Source organism: Homo sapiens, chromosome 12, assembly GCF_000001405.40.
Source record: "Homo sapiens chromosome 12, GRCh38.p14 Primary Assembly".
NCBI classification, from domain to species: domain Eukaryota; kingdom Metazoa; phylum Chordata; class Mammalia; order Primates; family Hominidae; genus Homo; species Homo sapiens.
The window spans coordinates 132887640-132908598 of NC_000012.12; the positions used below are offsets into that span (position 1 = coordinate 132887640).

The following is a 20959-nucleotide window of genomic DNA, read 5'->3' on the forward strand; positions in this document are numbered from 1 at the left end:
GGCCTCTGCGCCCCGCGATTGGCTGGCGGCGGCGCTCACCAAGAGCGGCAGCTAAAGCGGAGCCGGGAGTGGCCCGCGAGAGTAGGCGCGTGGAGGGCGCTCGGCCATCTTTGATCCTGACCAGGCGACTTCGTCGCCTGCGGATCACGGAAGTGGCTGCGGTCGGCGCCATGTTATGTTGGGGCAGAAGGGACGGGGAACTTCCGGATTGGAAGCCCCAAGGATTCTGAGAGCCCCGCTAATCTGGGGATGACTCCTAGGAGTAGAAGACGGTCCATCTTAGTTGTCACGAGGTAGTGCACGTGGGGACCCTTTCGGGTACAGTTGCACACAGTGGATCACACAGATCCGAAGTCTGAGGCACAGGGCGCGGTCCGCGAGTGGGAGCGGCTGCTTGTGGGCAGGGTGGACGCGGGGCCACGTCTTGGCCGGCGTTTTGCGGGGTCTTCCTGTTCTGAACGCGCGTAACTTTTGCCTCAGTATCTCACTTCTTGGAATCCGGCGGCGTTCACGTGTGTGCTCCAGAGAAGGGCGCCAGAGGGTATTCCCTGAAAGTGAAAGGTCGGCGAAAGAGGAGTAAAGACGGCGAGACGCGTCCACGCAGGGGGAGTCTGTGCGGTTTGGAGGAACGCGCCAATGTCTGCACTCATGAGGAGCCCCCAAGGGCGGTTTTAAGAGGGTGAAGCAGGACCGGGCGCAGTGACTTACGCCTGTAATCTAAGTGCTTTGGAAGGCCTAGGCAGGAGGATCTCGAGCCCAGGAGTTCGAGATTAGCCTGAGACCTCATCGCTACCAAAATAAATAAAGTAGGCATCCATTTGTGTAAAACAAACCATATATACACACATATATACATATATAAACATTTGTATATATAGGTATAGGCATAGTTATCTATACCTTGTAAACCAAAAATAAAATTGTAAGCCTCCCCAACCAACTGAATGAACTGAGTCTCTCAACGCCAAAGTTAATCTGAAAAACCAGTTCAGTCCCTGATGGGAAGCAGGGTTTGGATATGTCCCATTATACTGTCCTCCCTTTGGAATTCAGGTATAACTGACCAGCGTCGACGTTAAAACAGACAACTTAAGGCTGACCAAACGGTCTGTAGCATTAAGATACATCACATGACAAATAGCAGGCCCTGGAAGAAAACGAAGTATTTTACCCTGACATGTATTTATTTAACATAGTTTTACGTAGCCCTGCAAAACTGTCTCCTGGGGGAAATCTACTTTGTAGAGAATCTCCTTCCTTTTCCACATCTTTTCCTGATCCAGGAGAGAATGTAAGACTCTGGCACCTTTTTAACTCTGATAAGAAAAGTTTACCATCTATTCTCTCTGAAGCCTGCTGCCTGGAGCGGCATCTGCATTAGAATGGCCAGAGTGGTGGTGCTCAAGCCTGTAATCCTAGCACTTTGGGAGGCCGAGGTGGGTGGATCGCTTGAGCCCAGGAATTCAGACCATCCTGGGCAACATGGGGAGACCCCGTCTTAGCTGGACATGATGACAGCACATGCCTATAGTCCCAGCTATTCAGGAGGCTGAGGTGGGCAGATTCCTTGAGCCCGGGAGGACAAGGCTGCGGTAAACCACAGTCTGTGCCACTGCAATCCAGCCTGGGCAACAGAGACCCTGTCAAAAAAAAAATAACAAAATAGAAACTTTGTCTCCCTTAGCTTAACCCAGACAATCCTTTCTATTGATTCCAGGTCTTTAGATAATAACAACTCTTTCAACCAAGTGCCAATCAGAAAATCTTTGAATCCATCTATGAACTTTCTCCCTAAAAGGTGTAAAACCGGCTGGGCGCAGTGGCTCACGTCTGTAATCCCAGCAGTTTGGGAGGCTGAGGCAGGTGGATCATGTCAGGCCTCTGAACCTAAGCTAAGCCATCGCATCCCCTGTGACCTGCATGTATATATATGCCTAGATGGCCTGAAGTAACTGAAGAATCACAAAAGAAGTGAAAATGGCCTGTTCCTGCCTTAGCTGATGACATTCCACTACAAAAGAAGTGAAAATGGCCGGTCCTTGCCTTAACTGATGACATTACCTTGTGAAATTCCTTCTCCTGGCTCATCCTGGCTCAAAAAGCTCCCTCATTGAGCACCTTGTGACCCCCACCCCTGCCCACCAGAGAACAACCCCCCTTTGACTGTAATTTTCGTTTACCTACTTAAATCTTATAAAACGGCCCCACTACCCCTATCTGCCCTTTGCTGACTCTCTTTTCGGACTCAGCCCGCCTACACCCAGGTGAGTAAAAAACTTTATTGCTCACACAAAGCCTGTTTGATCGTCTCTTCACATGGACGCGAGTGAAATTTGGTGCCGTGACTCGGATCGGGAGACCTCCCTTGGGAGATCAATCCCCTGTCCTACTCTTTGCTCCGTGAGAAAGATCCACCTACGACCTCAGGTCCTCAGACCAACCAGCCCAAGGAACATCTCACCAATTTTAAATCGGGTAATGGCCTCTTTTCACTCTCTTCTCCCACCTCTCTCACTATCCTTCAACCTCTTTCTCCTTTCAATCTTGGTGCCACACTTTAATCTCTCCCTACTCTTAATTTCAGTTCCTTTCCTTTTCTGGTAGAGACAAAGGAGACGCGTTTTATCCATGAACCCAAAATTCCGGCGCCGGTCATGGACTCGGGAAGACAGTCTTCCCTTGGTGTTTAATCGCGCAGGGACGCCTGCCTGATTATTCACCCACGTTTCAGAGGTGTCTGACCATGCAGGGACGCCTGCCTTGGTCCTTCACCCTTAGTGGCAAGTAATGCTTTTTTGGGGGGCAAGAACCCCCCAACCCCTTCTCTCCGTGTCTCTACCCCTTCTTCACTTTCCTGGGTGGCAAGCACCCCCCACCCCCTTCTCTCCATGTCTCTACCCTCTCTTTTCTCTGGGCTTGCCTCCTTCACTATGGGCAAACTTCCACCCTCCATTCCTCCCTCTTCTCCATTAGCCTGTGTTCTCAAAAACTTAAAACCTCTTCAACTCACACCTGACCTAAAACCTAAACGCCTTGTTTTCTTCTGCAACACCGCTTGGCCCCAATACAAACTTGACAATGGCTCTAAATAGCCAGAAAACGGCACTTTCAACTTCTCCATTCTACAAGACCTAAATAATTTTTGTCAAAAAATAGGCAAATGATCTGAGGTGCTTTACATCCAGGCATTTTTCACACTTCGTTCCCTCCCTAGTCTCTGTTCCCAATGCGATTCCTCCCAAATCCTCCTTCTCTCCCTCCTGCCTGTTCCCTCAGTCCCAACCCCAAGCGTCGCTGAGTCTTTCCAGTCTTCCTTTTCTACAGACCCATCTGACCTCTCCCCTCCTCCCCAGGCTGCTCGTCGCCAGGCCAAGCTAAGTCCCAATTCTTCCTCAGCCTCCGCTCCTCCACCCTATAATCTTTCTGTCACCTCCCCTCCTCACACCCGGTCCGGCTTACAGTTTAGTTCCTTGACTAGCTCTTCCCCACCTGCCCAACAATTTCCTCTTAGAGAGGTGGCTGGAGCTGAAGGCATAGTCAGGGTACATGTGCCTTTTTCTCTATCAGACCTCTCTCAGATCAGTCAACATTTAGGCTCTTTCTCATCAGACCCCACTAAACATATACAGGAATTCCGATATCTAACTTTGTCCTACAAGTTAACCTGGAGTGACCTAAATGTCATCCTGACTTCTACCCTCTCCCCAGATGAACGGGAAAGAGTTTTTTCTCTAGCCCAATCTCACGCTGATAACCACCGGCTTCACGAGCCATACCTCCAGGAAGGCATCAGAGCAGTTCCCCGAGAGGATCCCCAATGGAACTATCAGGCAGATTCCCCAGGTACAGCTAGGCAAGATTACATGATTTCCTGCCTAGTTGAAGGGCTTAAAAAGGCAGCTTACAAACCTGTTAATTATGACAAGCTTAAAGAAACTACCCAAGGTAAAGACGAAAACCAAGCCCAGTTCATGGCCTGCTTAGCAGCAACACTCAGACACTTTACCGCCCTAGACCCAGAAGGGCCAGAAGGCCGCCTTATTCTTAATATGCATTTTATCATCCAATCCACTCCTGACATTAGGAAAAAACTTCAAAAATTAGAATCTGGCCCTCAAACCCCACAATAGGAATGAATCAACCTTGCCTTCAAGGTGTACAATAATAGAGAGGAGGCAGCCAGACGGCAACGCATTTCTGAGTTACAATTACTTGCCTCTGCTGTAAGACAAAACCCAGCCACACCTCCAGCACACAAGAAATTCAAAATGCCTAAGCCGCACACACCTAAGCCACAGCAGTCAAGCATTCTTACAAGACTTCCTCCATCAGGATCTTGCTTCAAGTGCCAGAAATCTGGCCACTGAGCCAAGGAATGCCCATAGCCTGGGATTCCTCCCAAGCCGTGTCCCATCTGTGCAGGGACCCACTGGAAATCAGACTGCCCAGCTCGCCTGGCAGCCACCCCTAGAGCCCCTAAAGCTCTAGCCCAAGACTCTCTGACTGACTCCTTCCAAGATCTGCTTGGCTTAGCGGCTGAAGACTGACGCTGCCTGATCACCCTGGAAGCCCCCTGGACCATCATGGATGCTGAGCTTCGGGTAACTCTCACAGTGGCGGGTAAGTCCATCCCCTGTTTAATCGATACGGGGGCTACCCACTCCACGTTACCTTCTTTTCAAGGGCCTGTTTCCCTTGCCCCTATAACTGTTGTGGGTGTTGACGGCCAAGCTTCAAAACCCCTCAAAACTCCCCCACTCTGGTGCCAACTTGGACAACATTCTTTTATGCACTCTTTTTTAGTTATCCCCACTTGCCCAGTTCCCTTATTAGGCCGAGACATTTTAACCAAATTATCTGCTTCCCTGACTATTCCTGGACTACAGCCATATCTCATTGCCGCCCTTCTTCCCAACCCAAGGCCTGCTTTGCGTCTTCCTCTCGTATCCCCCCACCTTAACCCACAAATATAGGACACCTCTACTCCCTCCCTGGCAACCGATCACATGCCCATTACTATCCCCTTAAAACCTAATCAACCTTACCCCGCTCAATGCCAATATCCCATCCCGTGGCATGCTTTAAAAGGATTAAAGCCTGTTACCACTCGCCTGCTACAGCATGGGCTTCTAAAACCTATAAACTCTCCTTACAATTCCCCCATTTTACCGTCCAAAAACCAGACAAGTCTTACAGGTTAGTTCAGGATCTGCGCCTTATCAACCAAATTGTTTTGCCTAGTCACCACGTGGTGCCCCACCGTACACTCTTTTGTCCTCAATACCTTCCTCCACAACTCACTATTCCGTTCTTGATCTTAAAGATGCTTTTTTCACTATTCCGCTGCACCCCTCGTCCCAGCCTCTCTTTGCTTTTACCTGGACTGACCCTGACACCCATCGGTCCCAGCAGCTTACCTGGGCTGTGCTGCCGCAAGGTTTCGGGGACAGCCCTCATTACTTCAGCCAAGCTCTTTCTCATGATTTACTTTCTTTCCACCCCTCCGCTTCTCACCTTATTCAATATGTTGATGACCTTCTTCTTTGTAGCCCCTCCTTTGAATATTCTCAACAAGACACCCTCCTGCTCCTTCAACATTTATTCTCCAAAGGATATCAGGTATCCCCCTCCAAAGCTCAAATTTCTTCATCTGTTACCTACCTCATGATAATTCTTCATAAAGACACACGTGCTCTCCCTGCTGATCATGTCCAACTGATATCTCAAACCCCAACACCGTCTACAAAACAACTCCTTTCCTTCCTAGGCATGGTTAGATACGTTCAACTTTGGATACATGGTTTTGCCATCCTAACAAAACCATCATATAAACTCACAAAAGGAAACCTAGCTGACCCCATAGATCCTAAATCCTTTCCCCACTCCTCTTTCCTTTCCTTAAAGACAGTTTTAGAGACTGCCCCCACTAGCTCTCCCTGATTCATCCCAACCCTTTTCATTACACACAGCCGAAGTGCAGAGCTGTGCAGTCAGAATTGTTACACAAGGACCAGGATTGCATCCTGTAGCCTTTTGGCCAAACAACTTGACTTTACTGTTTTAGGCTGGCCATCATGTCTCCATGCAGTGGCTGCTGCCGCCCTAATACTTTCAGAGGCCCTCAAAAATCACAAACTATGCTCCACTCACTCTCTGCAGCTCTCATAACTTCCAAAATCTATTTTCTTCCTCACACCTGATACATATAATTTCTGCTCCCTGGCTCCTTCAGCTATACTCACTCTTCCTTTAGTCTCCCACAATTACCATTGCTCCTGGCCCAGACTTCAATTCGGCCTCCCACATTATTCCGGATACCACACCTGACCCTCATGACTGTATCTCTCTGATCCACCTGACATTCACCCCATATTTCCTTCTTTCCTGTTCCTCACCCTGATCACATTTGGTTTATTGATGGCAGTTCCACCAGGCCTAATTGCCACTCACTAGCAAAGGCAGGCTATGCTATAGTATCTTCCACATCTATCATTGAGGCTACCACTCTGCCTCCCTCCACTACCTCTCAGGAAGCTGAACTAGTTGCCTTAACTCAGTCCCTCACTCTTTTTTTTTTTTTTTTTTTTTTTTTTTTGAGATGGAGTTTCGCTCTTATTGCCCAGGCTGGAGTGCAATGGCGCAATCTCGGCTCACTGCAACCTCTGCCTCCTGGGTTCAAGCAATTCTTTTGCCTCAGCCTCCCAAGTAGCTGGGATGACAGGCATGCACCACCACGCCCGGCTAATTTTGTATTTGTAGTAGAGACAGGGTTTCTCCATGTTGGTCAGGCTGGTCTTGAACTCCCAAACTCAGGTGATCTGCCCGTCTCAGCCTCCCAAAGTGCTGGGATTACAGGTGTGAGCCACCACACCCGGCGCCCTCACTCTTGCAAAAGGACTACATGTCAATATTTATACTGACTCTAAATATGCCTTCCATATTCTGCACCACCATGCTGTTATATAGGCTGAAAGAGGTTTCCTCACTACGCAAAGTTCCTCCATCATTAATGCCTCTTTAATAAAAACTCTGCTCAAGGCCGCTCCTTTATGTATCTCTCAGCAAAGACCCACTGGAATTCCCCTAGGTAACCTTTCACCTTCTCGATGTTCCTTTATTCTTCATCTCCAAAGCCCAACTACACACATCACTGAAACAATTGAAGCCTTCCAGCTCCATATTACAGATAAGCCCTCTATCAATACTGACAAACTTAAAAATATTAGTAGTAATTATTGCTTAAGAAGACACTTACCCTGCATTTCACTCCATCCTTGGCTACCTTCCCCTTGCTCATCAGGCTCTCCTCCCAGGCCCTCTTCTTGTTTACTTATACCCAGACCCATAAATAATAGTGAAAGGTTGCTCGTAGATACTTGACGTTTTCTCATACACCATGAAAATCGAACCTCCCCCTCTATGCAGTTACCCCATCATGAAAGGTTGCTCGTAGACACTTGACATTTGCTCACACACCATGAAAATCGACCCTCCCCTCTACGCAGTTACCTCATGATGAAAGGTTGCTCGTAGAAACGCGACGTTTTCTCGCACACCATGAAAATCGAACCTCCCCCTCTACGCAGTTACCCCATCATGAAAGGTTGCTCGTAGACACTCAGCGTTTCCTCATACACCATGAAAATCGAACCTCCCCCTCTACGCAGTTACCCCATCATGAAAGGTTGCTCGTAGACACTCAGCGTTTCCTCATACACCATGAAAATCGAACCTCCCCCTCTACGCAGTTACCCCATCATGAAAGGTTGCTCATAGACACTCGACATTTTCTCATACACCATGAAAGTCTAACCTCCCCCTCTATGCAGTTACCCCATCATGAAAGGTTGCTCGTAGACACTTGACATTTGCTCACACACCATGAAAATCGACCCTCCCCTCTACGCAGTTACCTCATGATGAAAGGTTGCTCGTAGAAACGCGACGTTTTCTCGCACACCATGAAAATCGAACCTCCCCCTCTACGCAGTTACCCCATCATGAAAGGTTGCTCGTAGACACTCAGCGTTTCCTCATACACCATGAAAATCGAACCTCCCTCTCTACGCAGTTACCCCATCATGAAAGGTTGCCCATAGACACTCGACATTTTCTCATATACCATGAAAGTCTAACCTCCCCCTCTATGCAGTTACCCCATCATGAAAGGTTGCTCGTAGACACTTGATGTCTTCTCACACACCATGAAAATCGACCCTCCCCTCTACGCAGTTACCTCATCATGAAAGGTTGCTCGTAGACACGCAACGCTTTCTCGCACACCATGAAAATCGAACCTCCCCCTCTACGCAGTTACCCCATCATGAAAAGTTGCTTGTAGACACTCAGCGTTTCCTCATACACCATGAAAATCAAACCTCCTCCTCTACGCAGTTACCCCATCATGAAAGGTTGCTCGTAGACACTCAGCATTTCCTCATACACCATGAAAATCGAACCTCCCTCTCTACGCAGTTACCCCATCATGAAAGGTTGCCCATAGACACTCAACATTTTCTCATACACCATGAAAGTCTAACCTCCCCCTCTATGCAGTTACCCCATCATGAAAGGTTGCTCGTAGACACTTGACGTTTTCTCACACACCATGAAAATCGACCCTCCCCTCGACGCAGTTACCTCATCATGAAAGGTTGCTCGTAGACACTCGACGTTTTCTCGCACACCATGAAAATCGAACCTCCCTCTCTACGCAGTTACCTCATCATGAAAGGTTGCTCATAGACACTCGACATTTTCTCATACATCATGAAAGTCTAACCTCCCCCTCTATGCAGTTACCCCATCATGAAAGGTTGCTCGTAGACACTTGACGTTTTCTCACACACCATGAAAATCGATCCTCTCCTCTACGCAGTTACCCCATCATGAAAGGTTGCTCGTAGACACTCGACATTTTCTCACACACCATGAAAATGGAACCTCCCCCTCTACGCAGTTACCCCATCATGAAAGGTTGCTTGTAGACACTCAGCGTTTCCTCATACACCATGAAAATCGAACCTCCCTCTCTACGCAGTTACCCCATCATGAAAGGTTGCTCGTAGACACTCGACGTTTTCTCATACACCATGAAAGTCTAACCTCCCCCTCTACGCAGTTACCCCATCATGAAAGGTTGCTCGTAGACACTCAACGTTTTCTCACACACCATGAAAATCGATCCTCCCCTCTATGCAGTTACCCCATCATGAAAGGTTGCTCGTAGACACTCAATGTTTTCTCACACACCATGAAAATCGATCCTCCCCTCTATGCAGTTACCCCATCATGAAAGGTTGCTCATAGACACTAGACGTTTTCTCATACACCATGAAAATCGAACGTCCCCCTCTATGCAGTCACCCCACCAGTCCCCATTACAACCTCTGATGGCTGCTGCCCTAGCTGGATCCCTAGGAGTGTAGGTACAAGACACCCCTTTCAGCACTCCTTCTCATCTTTTTACTTTGCATCTCCAATTTTGCCTGGCACAAGGTCCCTTCTTCCTCTGTGGATCCTCTACCTACATGTGTCTACCTGCTAATTGGACAGGCACATGCACATTAGTTTTCCTTACTCCCAAAATTCAATTTGCCAATAGGAGCAAAAAGCTCCTTGTTCCCCTCATGACACCAACATGACAAAAAAGAGTTATTCCACTAATTCCCTTGCTTGTCGGTTTAAGACTTTCTGCCTCTACTATTGCTCTCAGTACTGGGATAGCAGGCATTTCAACCTCTGTCACAACCTTCTGTAGCCTCTCTAATGACTTCTCTGCTAGCATCACAGACATATCACAAACTTTATCAGTCCTCCAGGCCCAAGTTGACTCTTTAGCTGTCCTCCAAAATCGCTGAGGCCTTGACTTACTCAATGCTGAAAAAGGAGGACTCTGTATATTTTTAAATGAAGAGTGTTGTTTTTACCTAAATTAATCTGGCCTGGTGTATGACAACATAAAAAAACTCAAGGATAGGGCCCAAAAACTTGCCAACCAAGCAAGTAATTACGCTGAACTCCCTTGGGCACTCTCTAATTGGATGTCCTAGGTCCTCCCAATTCTTAGTCCTTTAATACCCATTTTTCTCCTTCTTTTATTCAGACATTGTATCTTCCGTTTAGTTTCTCAATTCATCCAAAACCGTATCCAGGCCATCACCAATCATTCTATATGACAAATGCTCCTTCTAACAATCCCACAATATCACCCCTTACCACAAAATCCTCCTTCAACTTGACCTCTCCCATTCTAGGTTCCCACGCCACCCCTAATCCCGCTGGAAGCAGCCCTGAGAAACATCGCCCATTATCTCTCCATGCCAGCCCCCCAAAAAAATTTTTTTCGCTGCCCCAACACTTCAACACTATTTTATGTTATTTTTCTTATTAATATAAGAAGGCAGGAATGTCAGGCCTCTGGGCCCAAGCTAAGCCATCACATCCCCTGTGACCTGCATGTATATGCCCAGATGACCTGAAGTAACTGAAGAATCACAAAAGAAGTGAAAATGGCCTGTTCCTGCCTTAACTGATGACATTCCACTACAAAAGAAGTGAAAATGGCCGGTCCTTGCCTTAACTGATGACAATTACCTTGTGAAATTCCTTCTCCTGGCTCATCCTGGCTCAAAAAGCTCCCTCACTGAGCACCTTGTGACCCCTACCCCTGCCCGCCAGAGAACAACCCCCTTTGACTGTAATTTTCCTTTACCTACTTAAATCTTATAAAACGGCCCCACCCCATCTCCCCTTTGCTGACCCTCTTTTCAGACTCAGCCCGCCTGCACCCAGGTGATTAAAAAGCTTTATTGCTCACACAAAGCCTGTTTGGTGGTCTCTTCACACGGACGCGAGTGAAAGATCACGAGGTCAGGAGTTCAAGACCAACCTGGCCAAGATGGTGAAACCCCTTGTCTACTAAAAATACAAAAAAAAATTAGTCGGGCTTGTTGGCAGGTGCCTGTAATCTCAGCTACTCAGGAGGCTGAGGCAGAGAATTGCTTGAACCCGGGAGGCAGAGGTTGCAGTGAGCCGAGATTGCGTCACTGCACTCCAGCCTGGGTGACAGAGTGAGACTCTGTCTTTAAAAAAAAAAAAAGTATAAAACCAAGCTGTAGCCCCACCACCATGGGCACAGGGTCTTAGGACCTCTTGGGACTGTGCCGTGGGCCGTGATCACTCACTTTTGGCTCAGAATAAACCTCTTCAAATTTTGTAGAGCTTGACTCTTTTAATTAATAATGTGTACATACAAATATGTTTATGAAAATGAAAATCTCTCTAGAAGGATACACAAGGAAATGGCGGTGGCTTCCTCTGAAACACGGACTTAAAGTCAAGGGGTAATGAAGACTTACCTTTCACTATATGTTTCTCTCAGTCAGTTCCACCAGAAAAACAGAACCAAAATCGGTAGGATGATGGAGAACACAGCAAGACCCATGAATTCCATGAGCATGGGCCCACGGTGCACCTCATTTACTGTGAAGTGGGTTCTTCGATCAGAAGCGATGTCATTGTTACAGGAAAAAGAGGAGTTCCAGTCCAGGCTCCAAGAAAGGGCTCTTAGATCTTACACAGGAAAGAATTTGAGGTGAGTCACTGAGCACCGTGAAAGAAGCAAGTTTATCAGAATCTACTCTGTTACAGAGTAAGGCATCCTCAGAAAGCAGGAAGAGGAATGCTGTACAGGAAACTCTTAAGGAGCTACAATTAAACCTGGAATGTGCAGATGTGCTCACTGAAGGTAGGGCTATTGGTGCTATCAGTGACCATTAATCCTTCAACCTAAGCCTGCTCATTAAGGTTCTCTCTGAGTAAAGTGGGCTGCACTCTTAGGACATCTGGACATTCTGCAGGCTTGGTGGGAGATGTCCCGTATGACCATAAATATTTCTGCAATTATAATTGGTGGTCAGCTTAGAATGTGGCTATTTTCAGACCATAGCAACCTTACAGGTGTCTTGTGAGTGCCTAGCTACTTACCTTAAGATAGAGTCACTCTGGTCATGTTTTATGAAACCAGAGGCCTGGTAAACAGGTTTCTCTAACACCACAACGGTGGGTAAGGTATTCTGTGAGTTTTGCACTGTCATTGCGTGATGATGGAGTACTACTCTGTATGCCTCACTTTATGGCTTGGGGGGTCAGATAACACTGAGTTCGTGATGAGCAGCTCAGGTCATGCAGTAATTTGGTGGGCCATGCTTAATTATTCAGTCCCTAATACCGTCCTGTAGCAAGCCAAAAGCTGGTTGTCAAAAGAAGAGTACGGGTGGAAGAGAGCGCTTCTCAGACCTCGGCTGCGCGGCCCTAGGAGTGCCGAGCTCACGGAACCACAGCCATGACTGAGGCCAATGTGAATCTGAAGGCCTAGCCCCTCGCCGATGCCCACCTCACCAAGAAACCACTGGAGTTCATTCAGTAGTCGTGTAACTACAAGCAGCTTCAGAAAAGAGCCAACGAGGCCACCAAAACCCTTAACAGGGGCATCTCTGAGTTCATCGTGATGGCTGCAGACACCGAGCCACAGGAGATCATTCCGCACCTCCACTGCTGTGTGAAGACAAGAACGTGCCCTTCATATTTGTGCGCTCCAAGCAGGCCCTGGGAAGAGCCTGTGGGGTCTCCAGGCCTGTCATCACCTGTTCTGTCACCATCAAAGAAGGCTCACAGCTGAAACAGCAGATCCAATCCATTCAGCAGTCCATCAAAAGGCTCTTAGTCTAAACCTGTGGCCTCTGCCACGTGCTCCCTGCCAACTTGTCCCCCGAGGTTGTGTATCATATTGTCTGTGTTAGCATGTAGTATTTTCAGCTACTCTCTATTGTTATAAAACGTTGAAGTCAAAAAAAAAAAAAAAAAAAAAAAGAAGAGTAATTATCTGCAGACAATGTCAGGGCTTTGCACCAAAATCCTAAAAGTCTACATTGTGATTCTCCTATGCGGGCCTGCCAAGGCTCCACCCAGCATCGCTCTCTGCCACTGACATGTCAAGCACCATTGGATCTGCTGGGTCATGTGACCAAGTGGTAGAGCACCTTGCACAACAGCCTGCATCTGTTGCAGAGCCTTCACTTGTTCTGGGCCCCACTCAAAACTAGCAGCTGGCTGGGAGCTCAAGCCTGTCATCCCATCACTTTGGGAAGCCAAGGTGGGTGGATTGCCTGAGCTCAGGAGTTCGAGACCAGCCTGGCCAACATGGTGAAACCCCGTCTCCACCAAAAATACAAAAAATTAGCCGGATGTGGTGATGCACACCTGTACTAGGGAGGCTAATGTAGGAGGCTAAGGTGGGAGGATTGCTTGAGCCCGGGAGGTGGAGGCTGCAATGAGCCATGATAGCACCACTGGACTCCAGCCTGGGCAACAGAGTGAGACCCTGTCTCAAAAAACAAACAAAAAAAACCCATTTATTTATTTATTTATTTGTTTTTGAGACAGAGTCTCACTCTGTCACCTAGGATGGAGTGCAGTGGCACAATCTCGGCTCACTGCAACCTCTGTCTCCAGGGTTCAAGCAATTCTCCCCCGCCTCAGCCTCCTGAGTACCTGAGATTACAGGTGCCCACCACCAGGCCCAACTAATTTTTGTATATTTAGTAGAGATGGGGTTTTGCCATCTTGGCCCGGCTGGTCTCCAACTCCTGACCTCAGGTGATCCGCTAGTCTCGGCCTCCCAAAGTGCTGGGATTACAGGCGTGAGCCACCACACCTGGCCACAGAAAACCTTTTGAGATAGTCAGTGAGTCATAAAAAATTATCAAACATGGAAATTCTCTTAAGTGAAAATGAAGTGAGCTAATAAGTACATTTTTAAAAGATTACTGATGGGCTGGGTGCGGTGGCTCATGCCTGTAATCCCAGCACTTTGGGAGGCTGGGATGGGCAGATCACAAGGTCAGGAGATCAAGACCATCCTGCCCGACCTGATGAAACCTTGTCTCTACTAAAAAATACAAAAATTAGCCAGATGTGGCAGCGCACTCCTGTAGTCCTAGCTACTCGGGAGGCTGAGGCAGGAGAATTGCTTGAACCCGGGAGGCGCAGGCTGCAGTGAGCCGAGATCGGCCACTGCACTCCAGCCTGGGTACAGAGCGAGAGACTCTGTCTCAAAAAAAAAAAAAAAAAGATTACTGAGGAATTTGCTTCTATTAAAACCAGAAAAGTAAAATTACCTTTTACATTTTCTTTTTTTTTTTTTTTGAGACAGAGTTTCGCTACTGTTGCCCAGGCTGGAGTGCAGTGGCGCAATCTCGGCTCACCACAACCTCCACCTCCCTGGTTCAAGCGATTCTCCTGCCTTAGCATCCCCAGTAGCTCGGATTACAGGCATGTGCCACCACACCCAGTTAATTTTATATTTTTAGTAGAGACAGGGTTTCTCCATGTTGGCCAGGCTGGGCTCGAACTCCTGACCTCAGGTGATCTGCCTGCCTTGGCCTCCCAAACTGCTGGGATTACAGGCATGAGCCACCGTGCCCAGCCCTTTTTTTTTTTTTTTTGAGATGGAGTCTTGCTCTGTTGCCCAGGCTGGAGTGCAGTGGCATGATCTCGGCTCACTGCAACCTCTTCCGCTTCCCAGTTTCAAGCAACTCTCCTGTCTCAGCCTCCTGAGTAGCTGGGATTACAGGCATGCACCACCACACCCGGCTAATTTTTGTATTCTGGTCTCGAACTCCTGACCTTAGGTGATCTGCCTGCCTCAGCTTCCCAGAGTGCTAGGATTTTCCTTTTTTTTTTTTTTTTTTTTTTGTAAGTGAAAGCAAGTTTATTAGAGATGTAAAGAAACAAAAGAATAGCTACTCCACAGGCAGAGCAGCCTATATTTTCCTTTTGATATGAACTTTTTTTTTTTTTTTGAGATGGAGTCTCATTCTATTGCCCAGGCTGGAGTGCAGTGGCGGGATCTGGGATCACTGCAACCTCTGCCTCCCGGGTTCAAGCGATTCTCCTGCCTCAGCCTCCCTAGTAGCTGGGACTACTGGCATGCACCACCATACCCAGCTGCTTTTTTTTGTATTTTTAGTAGAGACAGGGTTTCACCATGTTGGCCAGGCTGGTCTTGAACTCCTGACCTCAGGTGATCTGCCTGCCTTGGCCTCCCAAAGTGCTGGGATTACTGGTGTGAGCCACTGTGCCCAGCCGCTATGAACTATTTTAAGTGGAAATAATGATTTTTATTCTATTTTATTATTTTTTATTTTGAGACAGAGTCTTGCTCTGTTGCCCAGGCTGGAGTGCAATGGCGCAATCTCGGCTGACTGCAACCTCTGCCTTCTGGGTTTAAGCAATTCTCCTGCCTCAGCCTCCCGAGTAGCTGGGACTACAGGCGCGTGCCACCACGCCCGGCTAATTTTTGTATTTTTAGTAGGGACGGGGTTTCACCGTGTTAGCCAGGATGGTCTCGATCTAATGACCGTGTGATCTGCCCACCTCAGCCTCCCAAAATGCTGGGATTACAGGCATGAGCCACTGCACCTGGCCTAATGTTTTGAGTTTTAATACATGTACTTTGCAAAACTTTCTTCTTTACAACTACTTTAACCCTGTAGGGAAAATAAGACAGGAAGAAATGAATAAAGCACATCCACAGGAGTGCTCATTTTCCTTCTCCCAGACTCCCCAAGCTGTAGGCACGAACACTGTTCTCTGCAAGTCTCACCTGGGCCACGCACTTCTCTGGACTTGCATGGATTTCCTCCCAGAACAATCCTGATTAAGGAAACACCAGGTGCTCTCTGTTTCCCGCTGCCAACCCCTCTGTGAAGGGAAATGCCTAAAACAGATCTCACTCCGAGATCTTTACTTTCCAGAGAAAGTAAAGAATAACGCATGGGAACATTCCAGAACATGAGGGAATCTCTGCTTATGAATTTAAGGAAAGTGTCTCTGGTGGACGTGGAGAAAAGGGAACCCTCATACACGGTTGGAAGGAATGTAAATTAGTACAACCACTACCGAGAACTGTTTGGAGGTACCTCAGAAAACTAAAAATTGAGCTACCACAAGCTCCAGCAATCCCTGATGGCTAGATACCGGAAAGGGAATCAGCATGTCTAAGAGATGTCTGCACTGCCATGTTTGCTGCAGCACTGTTCACAACAGCCAAGATTTGGAAGCAACCTAAATGTCCATCAACAGATGAATGGATAAGAAAATGCGGCGCCTGTAATCCCAGTACTTTGGGAGGCCCAGGCGGGCGGATCATGAGGTCAGGAGATCGAGACCATCCTGGCTGACACGGTGAAACCCCCGTCTCTACTAAAAATACAAAAAATTAGCCGGGCGTGGTGGCGGGCGCCTGCAGTCCCAGCTACTGGAGAGGCTGAGACAGGAGAATGGCGTGAACCCGGGAGGTGGAGGTTGCAATGAGCTGAGATCGCGCCACTGCACTCCAGCCTGGGCAACAGAGCGAGACTCCGTCTCAAAAAAAAAAAAAAAAAAAGAAAGAAAGAAAGAAAATGCGGCGCATGGCGGGGCACAGCGGCTCATGCCTGTAATCTCAGCACTTTGGGAGGCCGAGGCGGATGGATCACAAGGTCAGGAGTTCAAGACCAGCCTGGCCAAGATGGTGAAACCCCATCTCTACTACAAATACAAAAATTAGCTGGGCGTGGTGGCGGGAGCCTGTAATCCCAGCTACCCTGGAGGCTGAGGCAGGAGAATCGCTTGAACCCGGGAGGCGGCGGTTGCAGTGAGCCGAAACCACCTCCAGCCTGGGCGACAGAAACAGACTCTGTCTCAGAGAAAAAAAAAAAAAAAGCGAAAAAACGTTATTTATTTATTTATTTATTTAGAGACGGAGTCTTGCTCAAGTTGCCCAGGCTGGAGTGCAATGGCACGATCTCGGCTCACTGCAACCTCGGCCACCCAGGTTCAAGCAATTCCCCTGCCTCAGCCTCCTGAGTAGCTGGGATTACAGGCGCGCGGCACCACGCCCGGCTAATTTTTGTATTTTTAGTAGAGACTGGATTTCACCTTGTTGGCCAGGCTGGTCTGGATATCCTGACCTCATGATCTACCCGCCTCGGCCTCCCAAAGTGCTGGGATTACAGGCGAGAGCCACCGCGCCCGGCCTATAAAAACATTTTTAAAAAAGGACAATGACTCTAGAGATTCCCCGGCAGAGTTCCTCTGGGAAGCTTTTCCTCACCGAAGACGCGGCCTCAAGTCATCCCCAAGCCGGGGCTCCTGGGTGGCTTCTCAGGAAGCCAAGCTCCCTCACCCTGTGGCGACGCCGCGGGCGGAATGCGCATGCGCGCCACGAGCCACAATCGTAGGGTTGGGCGCGCCCTGCCGGCCACCAGGGGCAGCGCAGGAGCTGAGCGCACCCCATCAGCGAAAGAAGCGCGCCTCCCCGCTCTTTTCTGAACCGTATCTCCTAAACTATAATTTTGGAGATCAAAAGTGCGGTGGAGCCTCCTCTTCTGTGGCTTGATAGGAGTGGGGGAGGTAACAAGAAGCAAAAGTACAAAGCCAATATATTAAAGTCAACTGAAACTGGAAAACTTTAAAGGCCTACCGTTTGCAATAAAACAACAAAAAGAAATCCTTGGATACAACAAATCCAAGAAATCCTTGCTCTAACAAAATATGAAACCATCTGTATCCAGAAAACTATGAAACACTATTAAAAGAAAACGTAGGCCGGCGCAGTGGCTCACACCTGTAATCCCAGCACTCCGGAAGGTCCGGAGCACAGAGGGCTCGCCTGAGGTCAGGAGTCCAGAGGAGCCTGGGAAATATGGCCAAGCCCTGTCGTTACTAAAAATACAAAAATTAGACTGGCTTGGTGGTGTGCGGCTGTAGTCCCGGCTACTCGGGAGGCTGAGATGGAAGGATGGCTTGAGCCCTGGAGAGGGAGGTTGCAGTGAGCCATGATGGGGCCACTGCACTCCAGCCGGGGGAACAGAGGGAGACTCTATCTTAAGGGAGGGAGGGAGGGAAGGAAGGAAGGAAAGGAGGGACGGAAAAGAAAGAGAGAGAAAGAGAGAAAAAAAAGGAAAACATAACCGGAGCATACTCCTTTTTCATTATTGTAGTCACAATATTGCTAAGATGTCAATTCTTCCCAACTGTAGAGTTGGTGCCGCTCCGACAAAAATCCCCGCAATTAATTTCGTAGATGTTGACAAACTGTTTGTAAACCTAGAATTGTAAATACAACCCTGAATAATAATGAACTTGAAGAACTCAACTTCCAAATCCAAAACTTCTAAAAGCTACCAAAAGAGCACTATCTTTGCAAAAGAATGGGCATTCTTTCACATGAACAATATCATTTTATCTTATTTTTAATTTTTTTTCAGGGTGTTGCTGTCACCCAGGCTGGAGTGCACTGGCACCATTATAGCTCACTGAAGCCTCGAATTCCTAGGATCAAGGGATCCTCCCACCTCAGCCTCCTGAGTAGCTGTTACTATAGGTGCCACCACGCCTGGCTGGAACAATATCATTTAAACTAAGCTTACATAGAATGTATTAATAATACAATCACAGGCAAGGACCCTTGCTTCAAACGTGTTAGGAAGCTGCAGAATTGAGGCCAGCCAAAACAGAGAGATTAAATCACATACATTTCTAGCTTTAATTTTCTTCCTATTTTCGCAGATCATGATTTTCATAATGATAATACATGAAGTGGTCCTTATAATAAGTAGATTCTATAGAGATGTGTATTGTATCAGCAGATGTCCGGTGTAGAATGCCACTTCCATCACAGCTTCTGAACACACAATGCTATCTACAATCGATTAAAAAATATATTTCAAAAGCCAGTTTCCCCAATATAACTAACTTCAGCATTCACTGATGTACTGAAAACTTATATTTGCCAATAATAGATTTTAGGGTAATTCATATTAAGATAGGATGGTTTTTAATATTATTTGAGGATAGACAGGAAATTTTAGTTGAGCAGGTTCTATTTTGTTTGAGTGGATCCATTAAAAAGATTGTTATTATTGCCGAGTGTGGTGGCTCGTGCCTCTAATCCCAGCACTCTGCGAGGCTGAGGCGGGAGGATGGCTTGAGCCCAGGCGTTTGAGACCAGCCTGGGCAACCTAGGCAGACCTCATCTCCAATAAAAATACAAAAATCAGCCTGACGCAGTGGCACGTGCCTGTAGTCTCAGCTACTTGGGAGGCTAAGGCGGGAGGACCACTTGAGCCCAGGAGTTCGAGGCTGAAGTGAGCTATGATGGCACCACTGCACTCCAGATGAGGCGACAGAGACTCTCCCTCTAATAAATAAATCAATACATCAATGAAAAATTTTAAAAAGATTATTTGTTGACTGTCAGGGTGATTTATTCTTCTAATAAATAGAATATTTACTTACAATTATATATCTTCTCATTAATACTCCAGTTCTGGTTACAAACTGGTAAAAATTGAGATAAAATCATAAAACTAACCAGGAAAACATTGACCTGCTAAAAACATAGAATCAGTGAAACTACTCAGGAAATACTTGCTATGACAGATTACTCTCTCTGTTAAAGGGTCCCATGTAGAGACATTTCTATGAATATTGAACAGTTAACAAAAAACTGAGACTGGGGGAGTGACAGACAATTCAGATTACAAAGCAAAAGCAACATAGGATTCAGATAAATACGATACCATGGTGAAACAAAATCTTTAAAGCACAAATGGTTTTGAATGTAGAAGCTCATATTTCACTAACTATTCACTGATGCGTAGTCCACTTTTCAGCAGTGATCTCCAATCAGTCCCTCCTTTCACAGAAGCCAGCGCAGGAGGCGCACGCGTCGCTTCCCGCCCCGCACTTCACCGCCCCAGCCCGTCCTGGCTGCCACCCGCCGTCCCTGAGAAACGCTCAGACGCTTCTCTCTCTCTTTTTAAAATTATACTTTAAGTTCTGGGGTACATGTGCAGAACCTGCAGGTTTGTTACATAGGTATACACGTGCCATGGTGGTTTGCTGCACCCATCAACCAGTTATCTACATTACGTATTTCTCCTGATGCTATCCCTCCCCTGGCCCCCCACCCCCGACAGGCCCCGGTGTGTGATGTTCTCCTCCCATTGTCCATGGTTTTTATTTTATTATTATTTTTTGAGACGGAGTCTCGCTCTATCGCCCATGCTGGAGTGCAGTGGCACCATCTCGGGTTCAAGCGATTCTCCTGCCTCAGCCTCCTGAGTAGCTGGGATTACAGGCATGCGCCGCCACGCCCGGCTATTTTTTTTTTTTTTTTTTTTTTTTTTTTTTTTTGTATTTTTAGTAGAGACGAGGTTTCACCATGTTGGCCAGTCTGGTCTCGAACTCCTGACCTCGTGATTCGCCCGCCTCGGCCTCCCAAAGTGTTGGGATTACAGGCGGGAGCCGCCGCGCCCGGCCTCAGACGTTTTTCTCTAGGTAAAGCCGCGGGATGAACCAGCCCCTGTGGAAATTTAGAAGTAACGACGTCCGTCAATTTCTGTATGAAAAATATACAGATCGTGTGACACGTCTTCTGGGAATGAAAGTCTGCTAAACTCGCCGTCACGAGTAGATGAACACATTTAAAGTTTGTAGTTAAGAGGAAAACAACGCCAACGACACAAATGCCCCAAGCGCTGGATGAAGCAGCGACCTAGGATGGGGCTGGCCTGGAACGGGAACCAAGACGCCCGCCCGGACGAAAACGAGCAGGGAAACCCGGGCCGGGGTCGGCCGCCCCACACGACGCACTGCGCAGAGACCACGCGGCTCCGGGTCTCGCCTGCGCCGGCGCATCCCTCGCAGACGCGCTCCTCCCACGCGAGGGCCCCTTCCCCGAAGCGCACGCCTAAGACTGCGCGCCGCAGCCCGCCCTGTCTAGCTGAGGCGCAGACCCGGATGGGTCCCAGAGGGGCGGGTCGGGGCGGAGAGCCGCGCCCAAAGGCAATGGGAGCCGCACGCTGCTAGGCAACATGCTGTCTCCCGGCAACGTAGAGGCGGGGAATTC

At 47.9% G+C, this 20959-nt stretch overlaps 1 long non-coding RNA gene and 1 pseudogene across 1 annotated transcript, besides 7 other annotated features; both read left to right on the forward strand.

The window, feature by feature from the left end:
* Positions 13-422: an enhancer, noted in NCBI's record as "active region_7393". NCBI's record gives its function as "activates an Ori minimal core promoter by ATAC-STARR-seq in GM12878 lymphoblastoid cells {active_cell/tissue: GM12878}" and the evidence as "EXISTENCE:reporter gene assay evidence [ECO:0000049][PMID:35858748]".
* On the forward strand, positions 203-932 carry CHFR-DT (CHFR divergent transcript). Its single transcript, NR_110919.1, has 2 exons — positions 203-293; positions 481-932. It is a non-coding gene; the product is annotated as a CHFR divergent transcript (long non-coding RNA).
* Positions 759-1561: an enhancer, noted in NCBI's record as "OCT4-NANOG-H3K27ac-H3K4me1 hESC enhancer chr12:133464984-133465786 (GRCh37/hg19 assembly coordinates)". NCBI's record gives its function as "activates a minimal SCP1, AML or CMV promoter by ChIP-STARR-seq in naive H9 embryonic stem cells {active_cell/tissue: H9 hESC(naive)}" and the evidence as "EXISTENCE:reporter gene assay evidence [ECO:0000049][PMID:30033119]".
* Positions 1562-2362: an enhancer, noted in NCBI's record as "OCT4-NANOG-H3K27ac hESC enhancer chr12:133465787-133466587 (GRCh37/hg19 assembly coordinates)". NCBI's record gives its function as "activates a minimal SCP1, AML or CMV promoter by ChIP-STARR-seq in naive H9 embryonic stem cells {active_cell/tissue: H9 hESC(naive)}" and the evidence as "EXISTENCE:reporter gene assay evidence [ECO:0000049][PMID:30033119]".
* Positions 10209-10947: an enhancer, noted in NCBI's record as "NANOG hESC enhancer chr12:133474434-133475172 (GRCh37/hg19 assembly coordinates)". NCBI's record gives its function as "activates a minimal SCP1, AML or CMV promoter by ChIP-STARR-seq in naive and primed H9 embryonic stem cells {active_cell/tissue: H9 hESC(naive and primed)}" and the evidence as "EXISTENCE:reporter gene assay evidence [ECO:0000049][PMID:30033119]".
* LOC647503 (SNU13 homolog, small nuclear ribonucleoprotein (U4/U6.U5) pseudogene) lies at positions 12277-12852 on the forward strand (annotated as a pseudogene).
* Positions 14119-14288: an enhancer, noted in NCBI's record as "experimental_26180 CRE fragment used in MPRA reporter constructs". NCBI's record gives its function as "activates a minimal promoter by MPRAs in K562 erythroleukemia cells, with activity observed for both the introgressed and non-introgressed 12:133478429 or rs77590322 variant alleles {active_cell/tissue: K562}" and the evidence as "EXISTENCE:reporter gene assay evidence [ECO:0000049][PMID:34662402]".
* Position 14204: a transcriptional cis regulatory region, noted in NCBI's record as "Neanderthal adaptively introgressed variant 12:133478429 (GRCh37/hg19 assembly coordinates) or rs77590322 in the experimental_26180 CRE". NCBI's record gives its function as "modulates activity of the experimental_26180 enhancer by MPRAs in K562 erythroleukemia cells {active_cell/tissue: K562}" and the evidence as "EXISTENCE:reporter gene assay evidence [ECO:0000049][PMID:34662402]".
* Positions 20753-20802: a silencer, noted in NCBI's record as "silent region_5132". NCBI's record gives its function as "represses an Ori minimal core promoter by ATAC-STARR-seq in GM12878 lymphoblastoid cells {active_cell/tissue: GM12878}" and the evidence as "EXISTENCE:reporter gene assay evidence [ECO:0000049][PMID:35858748]".